The sequence below is a fragment of the Homo sapiens genome, chromosome 15 (genome assembly GCF_000001405.40).
Source record: "Homo sapiens chromosome 15, GRCh38.p14 Primary Assembly".
Taxonomy (NCBI): domain Eukaryota; kingdom Metazoa; phylum Chordata; class Mammalia; order Primates; family Hominidae; genus Homo; species Homo sapiens.
Genome location: NC_000015.10, coordinates 40,706,599 through 40,724,687, shown reverse-complemented (window position 1 = coordinate 40,724,687; position 18,089 = coordinate 40,706,599). Strand labels below are relative to the sequence as shown.

At 42.1% G+C, this 18,089-nt stretch overlaps 1 protein-coding gene across 10 annotated transcripts in view; it reads right to left on the bottom strand.

Annotated features, from left to right (window-relative positions):
- RAD51 (RAD51 recombinase) overlaps positions 1-18,089 on the bottom strand; it is a 37,608-nt gene that overhangs the window by 7,653 nt on the left and 11,866 nt on the right. For all 10 annotated transcript variants that reach the window (XM_011521857.3, XM_011521861.3, NM_133487.4 and 7 more), the window contains 2 exons: positions 15,572-15,663; positions 5,789-5,883 (listed from right to left, as the gene is read on the bottom strand). In XM_011521857.3, the coding sequence (XP_011520159.2) occupies positions 5,789-5,883; positions 15,572-15,663 (187 nt within the window). The remainder of the gene's footprint in view (positions 1-5,788; positions 5,884-15,571; positions 15,664-18,089) is intronic.

The following is an 18,089-nucleotide window of genomic DNA, read 5'->3' as shown; positions in this document are numbered from 1 at the left end:
AAAAAAAAAAAAAGAAATAAAAAAATTAGCTGGGCTTGGTGGTGTGTGCCTGTAATCCCAGCTACACTGAGGAGGGGGGACTGCTTGAGCCCTGGAGTTAGAAGCTGCAGTGAGCTATGATTGCACCATTGCATTCTAGTGGGGGCAGAGTGAGACCCGTCTCTAAAAAAACAAACAACAAAAAATTTTTTGTCAGCAAAATATTCATTAACAAATCCTGAATGCATTGCTCTACTGCTTGGGCATCCAATAGGTGACCAAATCAAAGTTCTTGTCCTCATAGCCTATATTCTACTAGGTCATCTATCCTATCTGAATACTTATTTATGTTACAAGAGAATGTTTTAGTGACTCTGTCCAAAAGCTAATCCTTAAACTACTAAAACAGTATACTTAAAAGTATGAATGCTGTACATGATTGCCAAAACAATTTTGAGAGGGAAGACACAATTAAGTATATACATCCTCAGAAAACTAAGATCAGACTGCAAAAGAGTAATTCCTTTTCCTTCATAGGAATTTTGTAGGCAGAGACAAAAAGCTGCAATTACCATTCCAACCTAATTTTATGCTTCAGTGGTATACATTCAATAGGTTGCAGTTCTCAAATTATAAGCTGGGAAAGATAATTCGATTATAAAACGAGAGAGAATATTCTCCTCATTTAGGCAGGTTCCAACTTGAGTCTGACATCTCAGCAGACAATTAAATTGTTTTATCACTGGGTTTCCATAAAATGTGTGGCAGGGACTAAATTACCACATTTGACCCTAGACAAAGGAAAAGAAGTGAAACAGTTTTGAGGATGTATTTAAAAACTTTATTTGATATAGAAACTTACAAACTCTTCACGAGCTTTACTCAGGTATAATTAACATACCTCAAAAATGACCTGCTGTAAGTATAAAATTCATTGAGAGCTTTAGTGAATTTGCAGAGTTGTATAACCATGAACACAATCCAATTTTAGAGCATTTTCATCACCCCTAAAAAATCTCTCAACTTCATTCACAGTTATTCCTCATTCCTATCGCCACTAACCACAATTCTTCTATCCCTTAGATTATCCCCTACTGGAAATTTCATATAAATGGAATCATACATTGTGTGGTCTTTTGTGTTTAACTTCTATCATTTAGCATATTTGAAACCTCATCCATGTTGTTAACACGTATCAGTACTTAAGTTCTTTTTTATTGCTGAAGAGTATCCCATTGTATGGAGAAAACAAATTTTGTTTATTCATTTACCAGCTGATGAACATTTTGGGCTATTATAATGATACTATAAACATTATCATACAAGTCTTTGTATAGACATGTTTTTATTTCTCTTGGGGTATATAACTAGAGTGAAATTGCTGCATCATATGGTAAATTTATATTTAACTTTTTAAGAAGCCACCTATTTTGCAAAGAGACCACCGTTGTATATTTTCACCAGCAGTATATGAGGGTTCCAGTTTCTCTACATCCTCCCAGTATTTGTTACCATCTTTTTTATTATAGCCTTCATAGTGGGTGTGAAGTGGTAGCTCACCATGGTTTCAATTTGCATTTTCCTGATGACTAATGATGTTGAGCATCTTTTTATGTGCTCATCAACCATTTGTATATCCTCTTTGGAGAGATGTCTATTCAAATCCTTTGCCCATTTAAACAACTGGGTTATCTTTTTATTGTTGGGTTATAATAGTTCTTTATATATTCTAGATACTAGACATTTATCAGATACGTAATTTGCAAATATTTTCTCACATTCTTTGGGTTATCTTTTCACTTGCTTCATAGTGTCCTTTGAAGCACAGAAGTTTTTAATTTTGATGAAGTGAAAACTAACTCTATTATCAATTTATTCTTTCATGGACTGTGTGTTTGGTGTTGTAGCTAATAAATCTTTGCCTACCCCAAGGTCACTAAGATTTTCTCCCATGTTCTCTCTGAAAAATTATAGTTAGGCTCTTATTTAGGACTATCACCCTTCTAAAAACAGTATAGTAAAACGTACACATATAACATTAAATTGAGCATTTTAACTATTTTAAAGTATACAGTTCAGGCACATTAAGGACATTCATGCTGCTGTGCAACCATCACCACTATTCATCTCCAGAGCTTTTTCATCATCCCAAACTGAAACTGTACCATTAAACAACAACTCCCCAGTCTCCCTACCCCCAGAAAACCACCATTCTACTTTCTGTCTCTTTGATTTTGAAGTACCACATGTTAGTGGAATCATACAGTTTTTGTCCTTTTTTTTTTTTTTTTCCCCGAGCCAGAGTTTCGCTCTTGTTGCCCAGGCTATAGTGCAATGGCATGATCTCGGCACACTGCAACCTCCACCTCCCAGGTTCAAGCGATTCTCCTGCCTCAGCCGCCAGAGTAGCTGGGATTACAGGTCTGTGCTACCACACCTGGCTAATTTTTTGTATTTTTAGTAGTGACGGGGATTCACCATGTTGGCCAGGCTGGTCTCAAACTCCTGACCTAAGGTGATCCACCTGCCTCGGCCTCCCAAAGTGCTGGGATTACAGGCATAAGCCACCACGCCTGGCCTCAGTTTTTGTCCTTTTGTGACTAAATTATTTCACTTAGCATAATGCCCTGAAGGTTAGTGGATGTTAATAGCATGTGTCAGAATTTCCTACCTTTTTATCTGCAGGACTAGGTCTAAGAAAAAAAATGTGTTTTCTTCCTTTTAAGGCTAAAATGATATTTCATTGTGTGTATGTACATTTTATCTATTCATTTGTCAATGGACATTGGGTTATTTCCAAAGCTATTGTGAGTAATGCTGCTATGAACATCGCTGTCCAAGTATCTGAGTTCCTGTTTTCAATTCTTTATATAGCTGGAAATGGAACTGCTGGATCACATGGTCATTCTGTGTTTAATTTTTTGAGGAATGACCACACTGTTATCTATTTTAATTTTTATGTGTGGTATATAGTAAGGGTCTAAAGTTATTTTGCATTTGGAAATTCATCTACATCAGCACTGTTTATTGAAAAGACCATTTTTTCCCTCATTAAATTGCCTTGTCAGCCAGGTTTAGTGGCTCACATCTGTAATCCTAACACTTTGGGAGGCTGAGTAGGGATGATCACCTGAGGCCAGGAGTTCGAGACCAGCCAGGGCAAGACAGCGAGACCACGTGTATTTGTAAAAAATTTTAAATTTTAAAAAAATTGCCTGTTACCTTTGTCAAAAATGAAGTGACCATAAAGGTTTCATTTCCGAACTCTCCATATTTATCCATATGCCATCACCATATTGTCTTGGTTATTGTAGCTTTATAATAAGAATTTAAACCAAAAAGTCTAAGACCTCAAATTTTCTTTTTTTTCCAGACATTTCGGCTATTCTGGGTCCTTTGCATTTCCACGTTATGTTCCATAAATATTATGATTACTTTGTAAATTTCTGCAAAAAAAGCTTGCTGGAATTTTGATAAGGATTGGGTTGAATCTATAGATAAAATCTGAGGAGAACTGCCTTTTCTTGAGATAGAGTCTCGCTTTGTCACCCAGGCTGGAGTGCAGTGGCGCGATCTCAGGTCACTGCAACTTCTGCCTCCCTGGTTCAAGTGATTCTCCTTCCTTACCCTCCCAAGTAGCTCAGACTACAGGCAGTGTGCCACCATGCCTGGCTAATTTTTGTATTTTTAGTAGAGACAGGGTTTTGCCATGCTGGCCAGACTGGTCTCGAACTCCTGACCTCAGGTGATCCGCCCACCTTGGCCTCCCAAAGTGTTGGGATTACAGGTGTGCACCACAGTACCTGGCCAAGAATGCCATTTTAGTAATCTTGAGTTTTCCCATCCATGATGTGGAATGCTTCTCTTTATGTAAATCTTCAATTTTTCTCAGTAATGTTTCAGAGTTTTTGCTGTACAAATCTTACATTTCTTTTGTTAAATTTATTCCTAAGTATTTTATTCTTTTTCTTGCTACTGTGAATGAAGTTTTTTTTTCAAGTTTTACTTTTGAATTGTTATTGTCTAGTATATACAAATACAATGGATTTTCGTATATTGATATTGTATTCTGCAACTTTGCTGAACAGTTATTTAGTTCTAGTTTTTCTTGTGGATGGATTCCTTAGGATTTTCTACATATGGCACCATGTCATTAGCAAATAGTTTTCCTTCTTCCATTCCAATCTGGATGCCGTTTATTTCATCTGCTTGTCTGACTACACTGTCTATAATCTTTGGTACATTGCTGAATGTAAATAGTGAAAGTGGGCATCCTTGCCTTGTTACTGACTTTAGGGGGAAAAGCATTCAGAATTTCACCATTAAGGCCGGGTGCAGTGGCTCACACCTGTAATCCCAGCACTTTTGGGAGGCCAAGGCAGGCAGATCACTTGAGGTCAGGTTTGAGACCAGCCTGGCCAACATGGAGAAACCCTGTCTCTTCTAAAAATACAAAAATTAGCCAGGCTAATTTTTGGCTGAGGCAGGAGAGTCACTTGAACCCAAGAGGTGGAAGTTGCAGTGAGCCGAAATAGCACCACTGCATTCCAGCCTGGGTAACAGAGCACCATTTAGTATGATGCTACCTGTAGGTTTTTCACAGATGCCCTTTAGCAGGGCCTCTGATACATGTTATATTCATTATTGAGAGTGAAATATTGAAGCCTGTATCCATTAATGAAAATGAAAAACTGGTCCCTTACTATTATTGATGAGTTGTCTATTTTCCCCTTTAATTCAGTTTTTGTTTCATGTTATTTTGGGGTTTTGTTGTTAGGCGTGTGTGTATCTTTACAACTGTTATATCTTCCTGACAAACTGACCTTTTAATTATAAAATGTTCCTCTTTGTATATAATGTGTTTGTCTTTTTTTTTTGAGACGGATTCTTGCTCTGTCGCCCAGGCTGGAGTGCAGTGGCGCGATCTCGGCTCACTGCAAGCTCCGCCTCCCGGGTTCAGGCCATTCTCCTGCCTCAGCCTCCCGAGTAGCTGGGACTACAGGCACCCACCAACACACCCGGCTAACTTTTTGTATTTTTAATAGAGACGAGGTTTCACTGTGTTAGCCAGGATGGTTTCGATCTCCTGACCTCGTGATCCACCCGCTTCAGCCTCCCAAAGTGTTGGGATTACAGGCGTGAGCCACAGCGCCCAGCCAATGTGTCTGCCTTAAAGTGTACTTTGTCTGATATTAGTATAGCCACGCAGTGTCTCTTATGGTTACTATTTGCATGCAATATCTTTCTCCATTCTTTTACTTTCTAAAGGGTTTCTCTGGAAGAAAACATATAGTTGGATTTTTTTTTTTTAAATCCAGTCTGACAGCAACTCTAAAGAATGCCTTTTTCTGGCCGGGTGCGGTGGCTCACACCTGTAATCCCAGCACTTTGGGAAGTCAAGGCAGGTGGATCACCTGAGGTCAGGAGTCTGAGACCAGCCTGGCCAATATGGTGAAACCCCATCTCTACTAAAAATACAAAAAATTAGCTGGGTGTGGTGGTGTGCGCCTGTAATCCCAGCTACTAGGAAGGCTGAGGTGGGAGAGTTGCTTGAACCCGGGAGGCAGAGGTTGCAGTGACCTGAGATCACGCCACCGCACTCTAGCCTGGGTGACAAGAGCGAGACTCCATCTGAAGAAAAAAAAAAAAAAGAATGCCTTTTTCTACTAAGGAAGTCATTCTTTTGAACCACACATACAACTTTGGGACGTGGGGTTATAGAAGAGACATTCTTCGGCCAAACTAACCCTGGCAATCACTACATTGATAAGTGTAGCCATAGTCTCTCTTATCTAAACCAGTAACCTACCTCTCAGCCACTGCCAGCAGCCGTTCTGGCCTAAAGGTACCCTCAGTGTCAATGTACATGGCCTTTCCTTCACCTCCACCCCGGTCAATGGGAAGCTATAGAGAACAAAAACAACAGTAGAAATGAACATTGTATTTCTGATACAGCTGACCAAGCTCCTCATGACATCTTTATAATTCCTCCAAGGCAAAGGGAAAAAAACATTTAAAAATGACAGTGGTAGGAAGGAGGCATTCCCTTCTGATATTAATAGAAATACAGCTAGAAAAATATGTAAAGCTGATTGTGTCTCAGTACATACAGCTAGTCCTGTCAGAACTGGACTGCTTAGAAATATAGCCCAAAGTAGGTAATAAAATTCTTTTCTTCTTTTTTTTTTTTTTCTTGCGATAGTCTCACTGTTGCCCAGGCTGGAGTGCAGTGGCGTTATCTCGGTTCACTGCAACCTCCACCTCCTGGGTTCAAGCAACTCTCCTGCCTCAGCCTCCTGAGTTGTTGAGATTAAAGGTCCATGCCACCACGCCCAGCTAATTTTTGTATTTTTAGTAGAAACAGGGTTTCACCAAGTTGGCTAGGCTGGTCTTGAACTCCTGACCTCAGGTGATCTGCCTGCCTTGGCCTCCCAAAGTGTTGGGATTATAGGCACGAGCCACTGCACCTGGCCTTTTTTTGTTTTGGAGACAGGGTCTCACTCCGCCGCCCAGGCTGGAGTGCAGTGGTGCAATCTTGGCTCACTGCAACCTCTGCCTTCCGGGCTCTGGAGATCCTCCCATCTCACCTCCCAAATAGCTGAGACCATAGGTGTGCACCACCACACCCGATTAAATTTTTTTATAGATAGGGTTTTGCCACATTGCCCAGGCTGGTCTTGAACTCCTGGACTCAAGTGATCTGCCCGCCTCGGCCTCTTAAAGTGCTGGGATTACAGGCGTGAGCCACCACACCTGGCCAGTAATAAAATTCTAGAACTGCATACCAACACAAGACTGATCAATTCAAAAGTACAGAAACTTGGAAGACCATTTACCTTAGCTTTAATCAATAATGGGCCATGATCCAAAGCCCAGTTAATTTTAGCATGTCTATATCAAACTTATACTTCACTTTATTGAGCAGTTCATTCTTTAGGGGTACTAAAGGGACTAGTCAATGCCCTCGGAGTGTCTATAGCAAATTTCGAGTGTGAGCAAGAAAGAAGAAAAAAACATATTTACTCCAATAGTATAAACAAGATGTTTAAAATGAACAATTGGAGAAAACAGAAAAATAAGTAGAAAGAATTTTAAAGAGAAAACAAAAAGGAAAGAAAAGAGAAGTAAATGAAATGCCATGAAAACTGTCTTATGAGCCACTCAAGGAAATCTCTGCTTTAGACTACCCATTCCATACCAGATACCTTTGAATTTTTCTACAAAGTTTAAGTGAATGATGCTAAAGGGTAATTTCTACTCTAGAAATCTACTTTGGAGTCATAATTCCCATTTAAATTATGAGGAAAATCCTTTAGAACATTTTATGTTAAAGGCCTAGGAGAACCAAATTTTTTCTTTCTTTTTTTTCTGAGACGGAGTTTCGCTCTTGTTGCCCAGGCTGGAGTGCAATGGCATGATCTTGCCTCACCACAACCTCTGCCTCCCGGGTTCAAGGGATTCTCCTCCCTCAGCCTCCCAAGTAGCTGGGATTTCAGGCATGCACCACCACGCCCGGCTAATTTTGCATTTTTTAGTAAAAATGGGGTTTCTCCACGTTGGTCAGGCTGGTCTTTAACTCCTGACCTAAGGTGATTCACCCACCTTGGCCTCCCAAAGTGCTGGGAGGCGTGAGCCACTGCACCCAGCCCAAATTTTCTTTCTTATCTTTGAGAATTTTTTTTTGAAATTACAAAACAACTATATGCTTATATTAAAAATCTAAACAATATAAAAGTAGAGGGCCGGAGGCCAGGCGCAGTGGCTAACGCCTGTAATCCCAGCACTTTGGGAGGCCGAAGCAGGTGGATCACCTGAGGTCAGGAGACCGAGACCATCCTGGCTAACATGGTAAAACCTTGTCTCTACTAAAAATACAAAAAATTAGCCGGGCGTGGTGGCGGCCACCTGTAGTCCCAACTACTTGGGAGGCTGAGGCAGGAGAATGGCGTGAACCTGGGAGGCAGAGCTTGCAGTGAGCCGAGATCGTGCCACTACACTCCAGCCTGGGTGACAGAGCGAGATTCCATCTCAAAAAAAAAAAAAAAAAAAAAGAAGTAGAGAGGCCAGGCATGGGGGCTCACACCTGTAATCCCAGCGAGTGGATCACCTGAGGTCAGGAGTTCGAGACCAGCCTGGCCAAAATGGTGAAACCCTGTCTCTACTAAAAATACAAAAATTAGTGGGGCGTGGTGGTGCACACCTGTAATCCCAGCTACTCGGGAGGCTGGGGCACAAGAATCACTTGAACCTGGGAGGCGGAGGGTGCAGTGAGCGATATCATGCCACTGCACTCCAGTTTGGGTGACAGAGTGAGACTTTGTCTAAAAAAAAAAAGAGGAAGTGGCGGAGAAAAAACTGAAAGCTCTTCACCACTCTCCATCTCCCAGAAATAATTTCCCAGATTATTTTCTATGCATTTTCATATACTTCTTTTATATAAGTGGTTCTTCCACTTACTATGTGACTGAGAATATTGTTTCCTTTTCTGTAAAATGTAAATAAAACCGACCTTATGGGATTGTTTTAAAAACTAAATAAAATAATTCATGTAAAGCGTTTAGCACGGTACACTCTGAAGACATGATTTTCCCAACCTTTAGGGCACTGACTTTAGTGTATACAGTTACGGAAGGCTTTGTTAATTTGGAAGGGAAAAATTACGTTACTATTTGGCAGATAAAATCTCTCACATCATGGGAATCCATGGAAGGAGCAAAGGACACATATACAACAAAAGAGGGTCATGCCTAAAGAAAGACTTGGAACCAGTGGCCAAGAGGACAGAGAGCAGAATCTGCCTCAGTTTCTTGGAGAGGAGGAAATATTAACACTCTGGGGACTAAGTCCCCAGGAAATAAGATGAACGAAGTTCTCCTTTCTCCTACCTCCAGGTAATATTAAGTGCTAACATGACAGGGGATTCTTTTCCAATTGAATAGACTTCCTTGGCAAAGGAAAGGCCACAGATGATTGGGAATAGGTAGGTAGACTGACAACAGGATAGTGGACAAGCTCCCAGGGTAAGATCATGGGGATGGATTGCATGCTCTGTTCTCCAGCTTATTTGGCCCTTTCTACCTTGCCCTCCCAGTGCCATCATAGCCATCTTCTGTTACTGGATTGGGATACCATCAGGTTAGCTCTTCTTAATAACTGCTTAGGAGCATAATTTAACACTTCTCATTTTATAGTGATGCAGTATGTTTCTAACTTTTACCATTTTAATTATGCTTTGGTATAAATTATTTGTACATTTATCTTTGCATATATGTGAAATGTTCTGTAAGACAAATTTTCTGTCAAAGGGTATGTGATTTTTTTGTTTTGTGGTTTTTTGGTTTTTGGTTTTTTTTTGAGACAGAATCTTACTCTGTTGCCCAGGCTGGAGTGCAGTGGCACGATCTCAGCTCACTGCAACCTCCACTTCCCAGGTTCAAGCAATTCTCTGCCTCAGCCTCCCAAGTAGCTGGGATTACAGGCGCCCACCCCCACGCCTGGCTAATTTTTGTATTTTTAGTAGAGACAGGGTTGCACCATCTTGGCCAGGCTGTTCTTGAACTCCTGACCTTGTGATCCATCCACCTCAGCCTCCCAAAGTGCTGGGATTACAGGCGTGAGCCACCATGCCCGCATGGGCATGTGCTTTTAAAACTGGTACTTATGTTAAATTGTCTTCTCAGAACTGTTTTTATTTTTTAATTGAAATGGGATCTCGCCATATTCCCCAGTCTTGTCTGGAACTCCTGGGTTCAAGCAATCCTCCGGCCTCAGCCTCCCAAAGTGCTGGAATTACAAGCATGAGCCACCATACCCGGCCCAGAATTTTAAAACTACTGCAGTACTTTGAACAAGCATGGGCTAATTCATTTTGTAACCTAACTGTAGCTCTCAACTTTATGACTTTTCTATTAGAGAGAGACCTAACATATAATGGGGTTTTACTTCATTAAATTGAGAAAACAAATGAGAGTAGATAATATTTAGATTTAAGTAATAGTCTAACATCCTCTCTATATCCCTGGTTCCAGCTCTTAGGCTGATGAAATGTAATCTTTTCTATTATTAATTAATTAGCATTCTTTTTCTTTAAAAAAAGTCAACGATCTATATAGTTGTTCAGCCATCTGTAAATGTTATTTTAACAGGCTATATTTACTTGAGAATTTTGCTTTAGTTTATTGTTGACAGACATTATCTGACTACTTAAACATTCTCAGATTAGGATTCTATTTGTACAACTTTGGAGTGTCAGCATGCTATGCTGAGTTGCCATGGCAACTATAGATATTATGTACTGTAGTCTAAATACTTATTCTACATAAGTCCCTGTCAAAACATGGGAAAACATTTCTATTTAAAAAGGTCACATATCATGTCAAATGACGGATGTAAGAGTGACATTTTAAACAGCCCTAATTCCCTTTAGCTATCAAATTTCTAATGGAGCTCACGCAATAGCTATAGCTTCTATAACTTACTCTTCCTCTTCTCAATGTTTCCTCCCTTATTATCATAAAAGGTCTCCTAAGCATCCTCCTCCACCCCTCCCCCTCAGCTCTTTCTTCCTAATGATTATGAGGATCTGGGTGCAGAGGCATTCACCTGTAATCCCAGCTATGTGGGAGGCTGAGGTTGGAGGATTGCTTGCGCTCAGGAGTTCAAGAACAGCCGGTGCAACATAGTGAGACCCAATCTCAAAAAAAAAAAAAAAAAAGAATTTATTTCTGAGGAGAGTTAACAATGGATTAGGTCTACTCGATACTGACATGCTAGCTTGGCTGTCTCATAAGACATATGGCAGCCAGCCAGGCACGGTGGCTCACACCTGTAATCCCAGCATTTTGAGAGACCAAGGTGGGCGGATCACAAGGTCAGGAGATCGAGACCATCCTGGCTAATACGGTGAAAACCTGTCTCTACTAAAAATACAAAAAATTAGCCAGGCGTGGTGGCGGGCGCCTGTAGTCCCAGCTACTCGGGAGGCTGAGGCAGGAAAATGGCGTGAACCCAGGAGGCGGAGCTTGCAGTGAGCAGAGATGGCACCACTGCACTCCAGCCCAGGCGACAGAATGAGACTCCGCCTCAAAAAAAAAAAAAAAAATTGTAACATTTTGGTCTGCAAAGAAAATATCAGTGGAGCAATAAACAATTAAAATGACAACAAAAAGCCGGGCATGGTGGCTCACACCTGTAATCCCAGCACTTTGGGAGGCTGAGGCGGGTGGATCACCTGAGGTCAGGAGTTCAAGACCAGCCTGGCCAACACAGCAAGACCTTGTCTCTACTAAAAATACAAAAAATTAGCTGTGTTGGGTGGCAGGCACCTGTAATCCCAGTTTGGGAGGCTGAGGCTGGAGAACTGCTTGAACCCAGGAGATGGAGGTTGCAGTGAGCCAAGATTGCGCCACTGCACTCCTGCCTAGGCGACAGAGACTCCGTCTCAAATAAAAAAAAAAAAAAAAAGGAAAATAAGAAAAATGGGAGGCTATCAAGCTAGGTTACTTGATGTTAAATTTAAATAAACTTGGGCCAGGCACGGTGGCTCACTCCTGTAATCCCAGCACTTTGGGAGGCCAAGGCGGGCAGATTAACTTGAGGTCAGGAGTTTGAGACCAGCCTGGCCAACATGGTGAAACCTCGTCTCTACTAAAAATACAAAAATTAGCTGGACGTGGTGGCCGTCATGCCTGTAATCCCAGCTATTCGGGAGGCTGAGGCAGGAGAATGGCTTGAACCTGGGAGGCAGAGGTTGCAGCAAGCCAAGATCACACCACTGCACTACAGCCTGGGCAACAGAGCAAGACTCTTTCTCAAAAAAAAAAAAAAAAAAAGAAAAGAAAAGAAAAAAAAACTCAACAGAGTTGAGTCCCGAGGATAGAAAAACACTAGGAAGCCTCTTCTGTAACACTGATATAAGGCAGATTTTGTTTCAGTTGTTTTGATCTCCAACAGTAAGTTGTGCCCATGGCAGAAGTGGGTATAATCTATCTAGATTAAAATAATGCCATGTTTTTCAAAATAACTAAAATTATAATAAAGCTTCAAAAGATTATAACAGAAGAGTTGGTCCATGGGCATGGGCCAGGTTCAAGGATACTTTGTGGACTGGCCACTTATGCAGCACATCCTTAAAGCCAGAGAACATTAAGACTCACTTAGACAAGGAAAAACGGCTCCCCATTACACTGCCTGAAGTTGCAGAAAAGATGAAAGTTTGTTAGCTTTCTCTTCTATATCCTACTCCCTTCCTTTCTCATGGATCTTTCGTTTCCAGATTCCATTTTTACTTCTCTGTGTGACTTAGTTCCACATCTCTCAATACAGCTAGAAATTTTCACTCGGGGTTTGTCACCTCAAACCTGTCATCTCTAAACCTGTACTCATGTTTCCAACAAAACTGTCTTCCCCTCTCAAACACTTTTTAGGTTTACTAAGTTACTGTAATACATTGTTGGGCTGAGGTGTATTTTTTATTGTCAGTCATCAAGCGCTGCCCTTTACAACATCTTTTCCCTACTTCTCTTTATTGTCACTATCTTAGTTTCCTGACCAGCTAATGCTTACTCTTCATAAAATCAAGTTTAAACTTCTTAACCTTCTGAAATAGGATCTTAATTTTTTTTTTTTTTTTGAGATGGAGACAAAATCTTGCTCTGTTGCCCAGGCTGGAGAGCAGTGGTACAATCTTGGCTCATGGCAACCTTGGCCTCCTGGGCTCAAGCGATTCTCCCGCCTCCACCTCCCAAGTAGCTGCCACTACAGGCACAGCCCACGTCTGGCTAATTTTTATATTATTTGTAGAGATAGGGTCTTGCCATGTTGCCCAGGCTGGTCTCAAACTCCTGAGCTCAAGCGATCCACCCACCGTGGCCTCCCAAAGTGCTGGGATTACAGGTGTGAGCTATCATGCCCAGTTTGATGTATCTTTTTAAGGGTCATCTCCTACAACTTTTCTACACAAACTCTAAACCAGTTAAATGACCTTGCTTATTTATTGTCTTTTCCTTCTAACTTATGCCTTCCCATCCTCTGTTCATCCCATTCTATACAGTTAAATGCTTTTAATTTCCTTCCTTCCCAAATTTAGCATTCTTCAGAAGTCTGGTCCAAAATCTTTTCTCCATAAAGTATTCCATGATCACTCTAGGGTGAAATTACCCCTTTCTATTCCTTAAACAGCTAACCCATTTCCTCTGTGACATTCATTTTATATATCAGGCATGTTTTTGGACATCTATTATCTCCACTCATTCAAGCATTTATTGTTTACTGAGAGCCAAACACTGCCTTAGGCACTAGCAATACAGCAGAAAACATGCAGTGGCACGATCCCAGTCACTGGAGCCTCGACCTCTTGGGCTCAAGAGATTCTACCACCTCAGCCTCCTGAGTAGCTAGGACCACAGGTACACATCATCATGCTGGGCTAATATTTTTAATTGTCTGTTTTTGTTTGTTTGTTTTTAGAAATGGCATCTCAGAAACAGGGTCTCACTATGTTGCCCAGGCTGGTCTCAAATTCCTGGTCTCAAGCAATCCTCCCACTTTGGCTTCCCAAAGTACTGGGATTACAGGCATGAAACACCATGCTGGCCTCTTATGAAGTTTTAAGAACATCATCTCTGAAGTCTGGTTTGAGTCCAGTATTTGCTACTTAAATACAATGTATTGGGCAATTATTTAACCTACTGTGTCTATTTCCAAATCTTCCCACCAATAGGAGCATAAGTAAAGGAAAAAGAAACTGAAGGGGTCCAGGGAAGGTTTTTTCCTAATGGAGGAGACACTAGACATATTTGTATACTGATGAGGATAATCTCATAGAGAGGTACAAGAGAAAATGGAAGGAGTAGAGTCCTTGAGAAGGTGGCAGGAGATGGTAACCAAATCATATTGATAGAATGGGCCTTTGAGAAGAAAAGGGACACTTTCTCAATTGTAACCTGAGATAAGAAAAGATGGGCACAAATGTAGATTTGATGCAAAGAGCAGGTTAGGTTTTTGGCTAAGAATGAGAGTTGAAGAGGAGCATAAAGTTCTGATAACAGAAGACGAAGTATGAGATATGAGATGCCTGTCTAACTCAGTGGGAAAGTACACCTAAATGGAGAAAGTAGACTGCCAAGAAGTTTTGAATGTTAATCTAAAGTTTTGTCATCTTGAATTTTTTTCCTTTTTTCATTCTTTTTTTTTTTTTTTTTTTTTTTGAGACAGAGTCTCGCTTCTTTGACCAGGCTGGAATGCAATGGTGCGATCTCAGCTCCCTGCAACCTCTGCCCCCCGGGTTCAAGCGATTCTCCTGCCTCAGTCTCCCAAGTAACTGGGATTACAGGCACGTGCCAACACGCCCAGCTAATTTTTGTATTTTTAGTAGAGACAGGGTTTCACCATGTTGGCCAGGCTGGTCTTGAACTCCTGATCTTTTTTTTTTCTTCTTCTTTTTTTTTTTTTTTTTTTTTTTTTTTTTGAGACAGAGTCTCGCTCTGTCGCCCAGGCTGGAGTGCAGTGGCGCAATCTCGGCTCACTGCAAGCTGTGCCTCCCGGGTTCACGCCATTCTCCTGCCTCAGCCTCCCAAGTAGCTGGGACTACAGGCACCCGCCACCACGCCCAACTAATTTTTTGTATTTTTAGTAGAGATGGGGTTTCACTGTGTTAGCCAGGATGGTCTCAATCTCCTGACCTTGTGATCCGCCCACCTCGGCCTCCCAAAGTGCTGGGATTACAGGCGTGAGTCACCGCGCCCAGCCAAACTCTTGATCTCAAGTGATCCACCCGCCTCGGCCTCCCAAAGTACTGGGATTACAGGCGTGAGCCACCGTGCCTGGCCTGTCATCTTGAATTTAAAGTGAAGTCAGTCAGCTGTATGATACGATTTTTCTCCAGTATAATCAGCTATTTGGGTACAGACACTGAGAAGATAGATGAGTTTCATCTAAGGTTGGCATCTCTTCAAGTGGGTATGTAAACTGAGGCTATCTGCAAGAGAATTACTTTAATGATGAATCATAAAATCTAGACTAATGAAGAAGATGGAGGGCTGGGCGCAGTGGCTTACGCCTATAATTCCAGCACTTGGGAGGCCAAGGTGGGTGGATCACTTGAGATCAGGAGTTCAAGAGGAGCCTGGCCAACATGGTGAAACCCCCTCTCTACTAAAAACACAAAAATTAGCCGGGCATGCTGGTGGGCGCCTGTAATCCCAGGTACTCGGGAGGTTGATGAAGGAGAATCACTTGAACCAGAGAGGAGGTTGCAGTGAGCTGAGATCACACCACTGTACTTCAGCCTGGGCGACACAGCGAGATTCTGCCTCAAAAAAAAAAAAAAAAAAAAAAAGTAGCAAGTAAAGCCAGGAAAAGGCCTGGTAGCAAAAGTATTTGAAATTAACGTATCTGATAGGAGATCAATGATTTGGAAGTTTCTATGACATGGAAGGATTTTGAAGTAGGAGTCTATCTTCTAACTATTAACAGCTATAAGATTCTTGAGGACAGAGAAAGTACCTTTTATGGCCATCCTAACAGATGCTTGCAAATAGCAGGAATGAAGTAATGCTTGCTTATTTGATTAGCTATAGCCCCAACAGCTCACCTGGCAGGTGACAGCTAGCGTATGACAGATCTGGGTCTTCCCAGTTCGGAATTCTCCAAACATTTCTGTGATAGATCCAGTCTCAATTCCACCTAAAAAAGCGATAAGAAATAACTCTTAGCATAATACAAACATGTAGAAACTGTAGTCATAGAAATGTTCTTGGAGCTCATCAGAAAGATGTTTATGTAAGTTAAAAATTCAATTTCCAACAAGCGATAATTTTTCACAAATGTATTTTGAGGCTAGCCGTGGTGGCTCATGCCTGTAATCCCAGCACTTTAGGAAGCTTAGGTGGGTGGATTGCTTGAGTTCAGGAGTTCGAGACCAGCCTGGGCAACATGGTGAAGCCCTGTCTCTACAAAAATTAGCCGGGCATGGTGGCGGATGCCTGTAGTACCAGCTACTCAGGAGCTAAGGTGAGAGGATCACTTGAGCCTGGGAGGCAGAAGTTGCAGTGAGCCAAAATCGTGCCAGTGCACTCTAGCCTGGGTGACACAGTGAGACCCTGTTTCAAAACAAACAAACAAACAAACAAATAAACCAAAAGTATTTTGAAATAATTAGATTTATAGATAGCTGCAAATAAGGCCAGGTGCGGTGGCTCACACCTGTAATCCCAGCACTTTAGGGGGCCGAGGCGGGCTGATCACCTGAGGTCAGGAGCTCGAGACCAGCCTGGCCAACATGGTGAAACCTCATGTCTACTAAAAATACAAAACTTAGCTGGAACTGGTGATGGGCACCTGTAATCCCAGCTACTAGCAGGCTGAAGCAGGAGAATCACTTGAACCTGGGAGGCGGAGGCTGCAGCAAGCCGAGATCACGCCACTGCACTCCAGCCTGGGTGACAAAGTGAGACTCCTCAAAAAAAAAAAAAAAAAAGCTGGGCACAATATGGTGAAACCCTGTCTCTACTAAAAATACAAAAATTAGCTGGGCATGGTGGTGCATGCCTGTAGTCCCAGCTACTCGGGAGGCGGAGGCAGAAGAATAGCTTGAACCTGGGGGCGGAAGTGGCAGTGAGCCAAGATCATGCCACTGCACTCCAGCCGGGGTGACATAGCAAGACCCCATCTCAAAAAAAAAAAAAAAAAAAAAAGCTGGGCACAGTGGCTCATGCCTGTAATCCCAGCACTTTGGGAGGCCGAGGTGGATGGATCAGGAGGTCAGGACTTTGAGACCAGCCTGGCCAAGACGGTGAAATCCCGTCTCTACTAAAAATACAAAAATTAGCCAGGCACGGTGGCGGGTGCCTGTCATTGCAGCTACTCAGGAGACTGAGGCAGGAGAACTGCTCAAACCTGGGAGTCAGTGGTTGCAATGAGCCGAGATTGTGCCACTGCATTCTAGCCTGGGCAACAGAGCAAGACTCTGTCTTTAAAAAACAAACAAACAAACCAACAACAACAAAAAAAAACATACGAAATTTCTATGCACCTAGCCTTCTGCAGTGTTAACCTCTTGCATAATGATAGTATAGCACTGATATTAGAAAACTGACATTGGGGGCCAGGCATGATGGCTCACGCCTGTAAGCCCAGCACTTTGGGAGGCTGAGGCGGGTAGATCATCTGAGGTCAGGAGTTCGAGACCAACCTAGCCAACGTGGTGAAACCTCATCTCTACTAAAAATACAAAAATTAGCTGGGCATGGTGGCACTTGCCTGTAGTCCCAGCTACTTGGGAGGCTGAGGCAGGAGAATCACTTGAACCCAGGAGGCGGAGGTTGCAGTGAGCTGAGATTATGCCACTGCACTCCAGCCTGGGTAACAGAGTGAGACTCTGTCTCAAAAAAAAGGGAAAGAAAACTGACATTGGGCCAGGCAAGGTGGCTCAAGCCTATAATCCCAGCACTTTGGGAGGCTGAGGCAGGAGGATGGCTTGAGCTCAGGATTTTGAGACCAGCCTGGGCAACATAATGAGTGATGCCCCGACTCAAAAAAAAAAAAAAAAAAAAAAAAAATTAGCCAGGTGGTAAATGATCATAGTCCTAGCTTGGGGAGACTGAGGCTAGAAGATCACTTGAGCCCAGGAAGCAGAGGTTGCAGTGAGCTGAGACCATGCCACTGCACTCCAGCCTGGGTGACAGAGTGAGACCCTGTCTCGAAAAATAAATAATAAGGTCAAAAGCTTTATAGTTTTCCCTGAAGTCCTGAAGATTAGTGTGTACACAATGAGTAGTATTCAAACATGGAATGTTTTAACCAGTCATCAGGTTTTCAACCCTGTGGTAGAGTAGGTTATAATTACAGTTACCTCCTTAAGCAAAAGGAGCTTACTCTCTTAACACAATATTAAATGGAGACTAAATTATTTAATTTGCAGATAAGTTTAGTATTTTATAAATAAGGTCCTACCTTGCAGCAGTCTTACCTCTTCAATGTGGATACTTCCTTTATCTCTCTTTGTTTTTGAGACAGAGTTTTGCTCGTCACCCAGGCTGGAGTGCAGTGGCACAATCTTGGCTCACAGCAACCTCCGTCTTCCGGGTTCAAGTGATTCTCCTGCCTCTGCC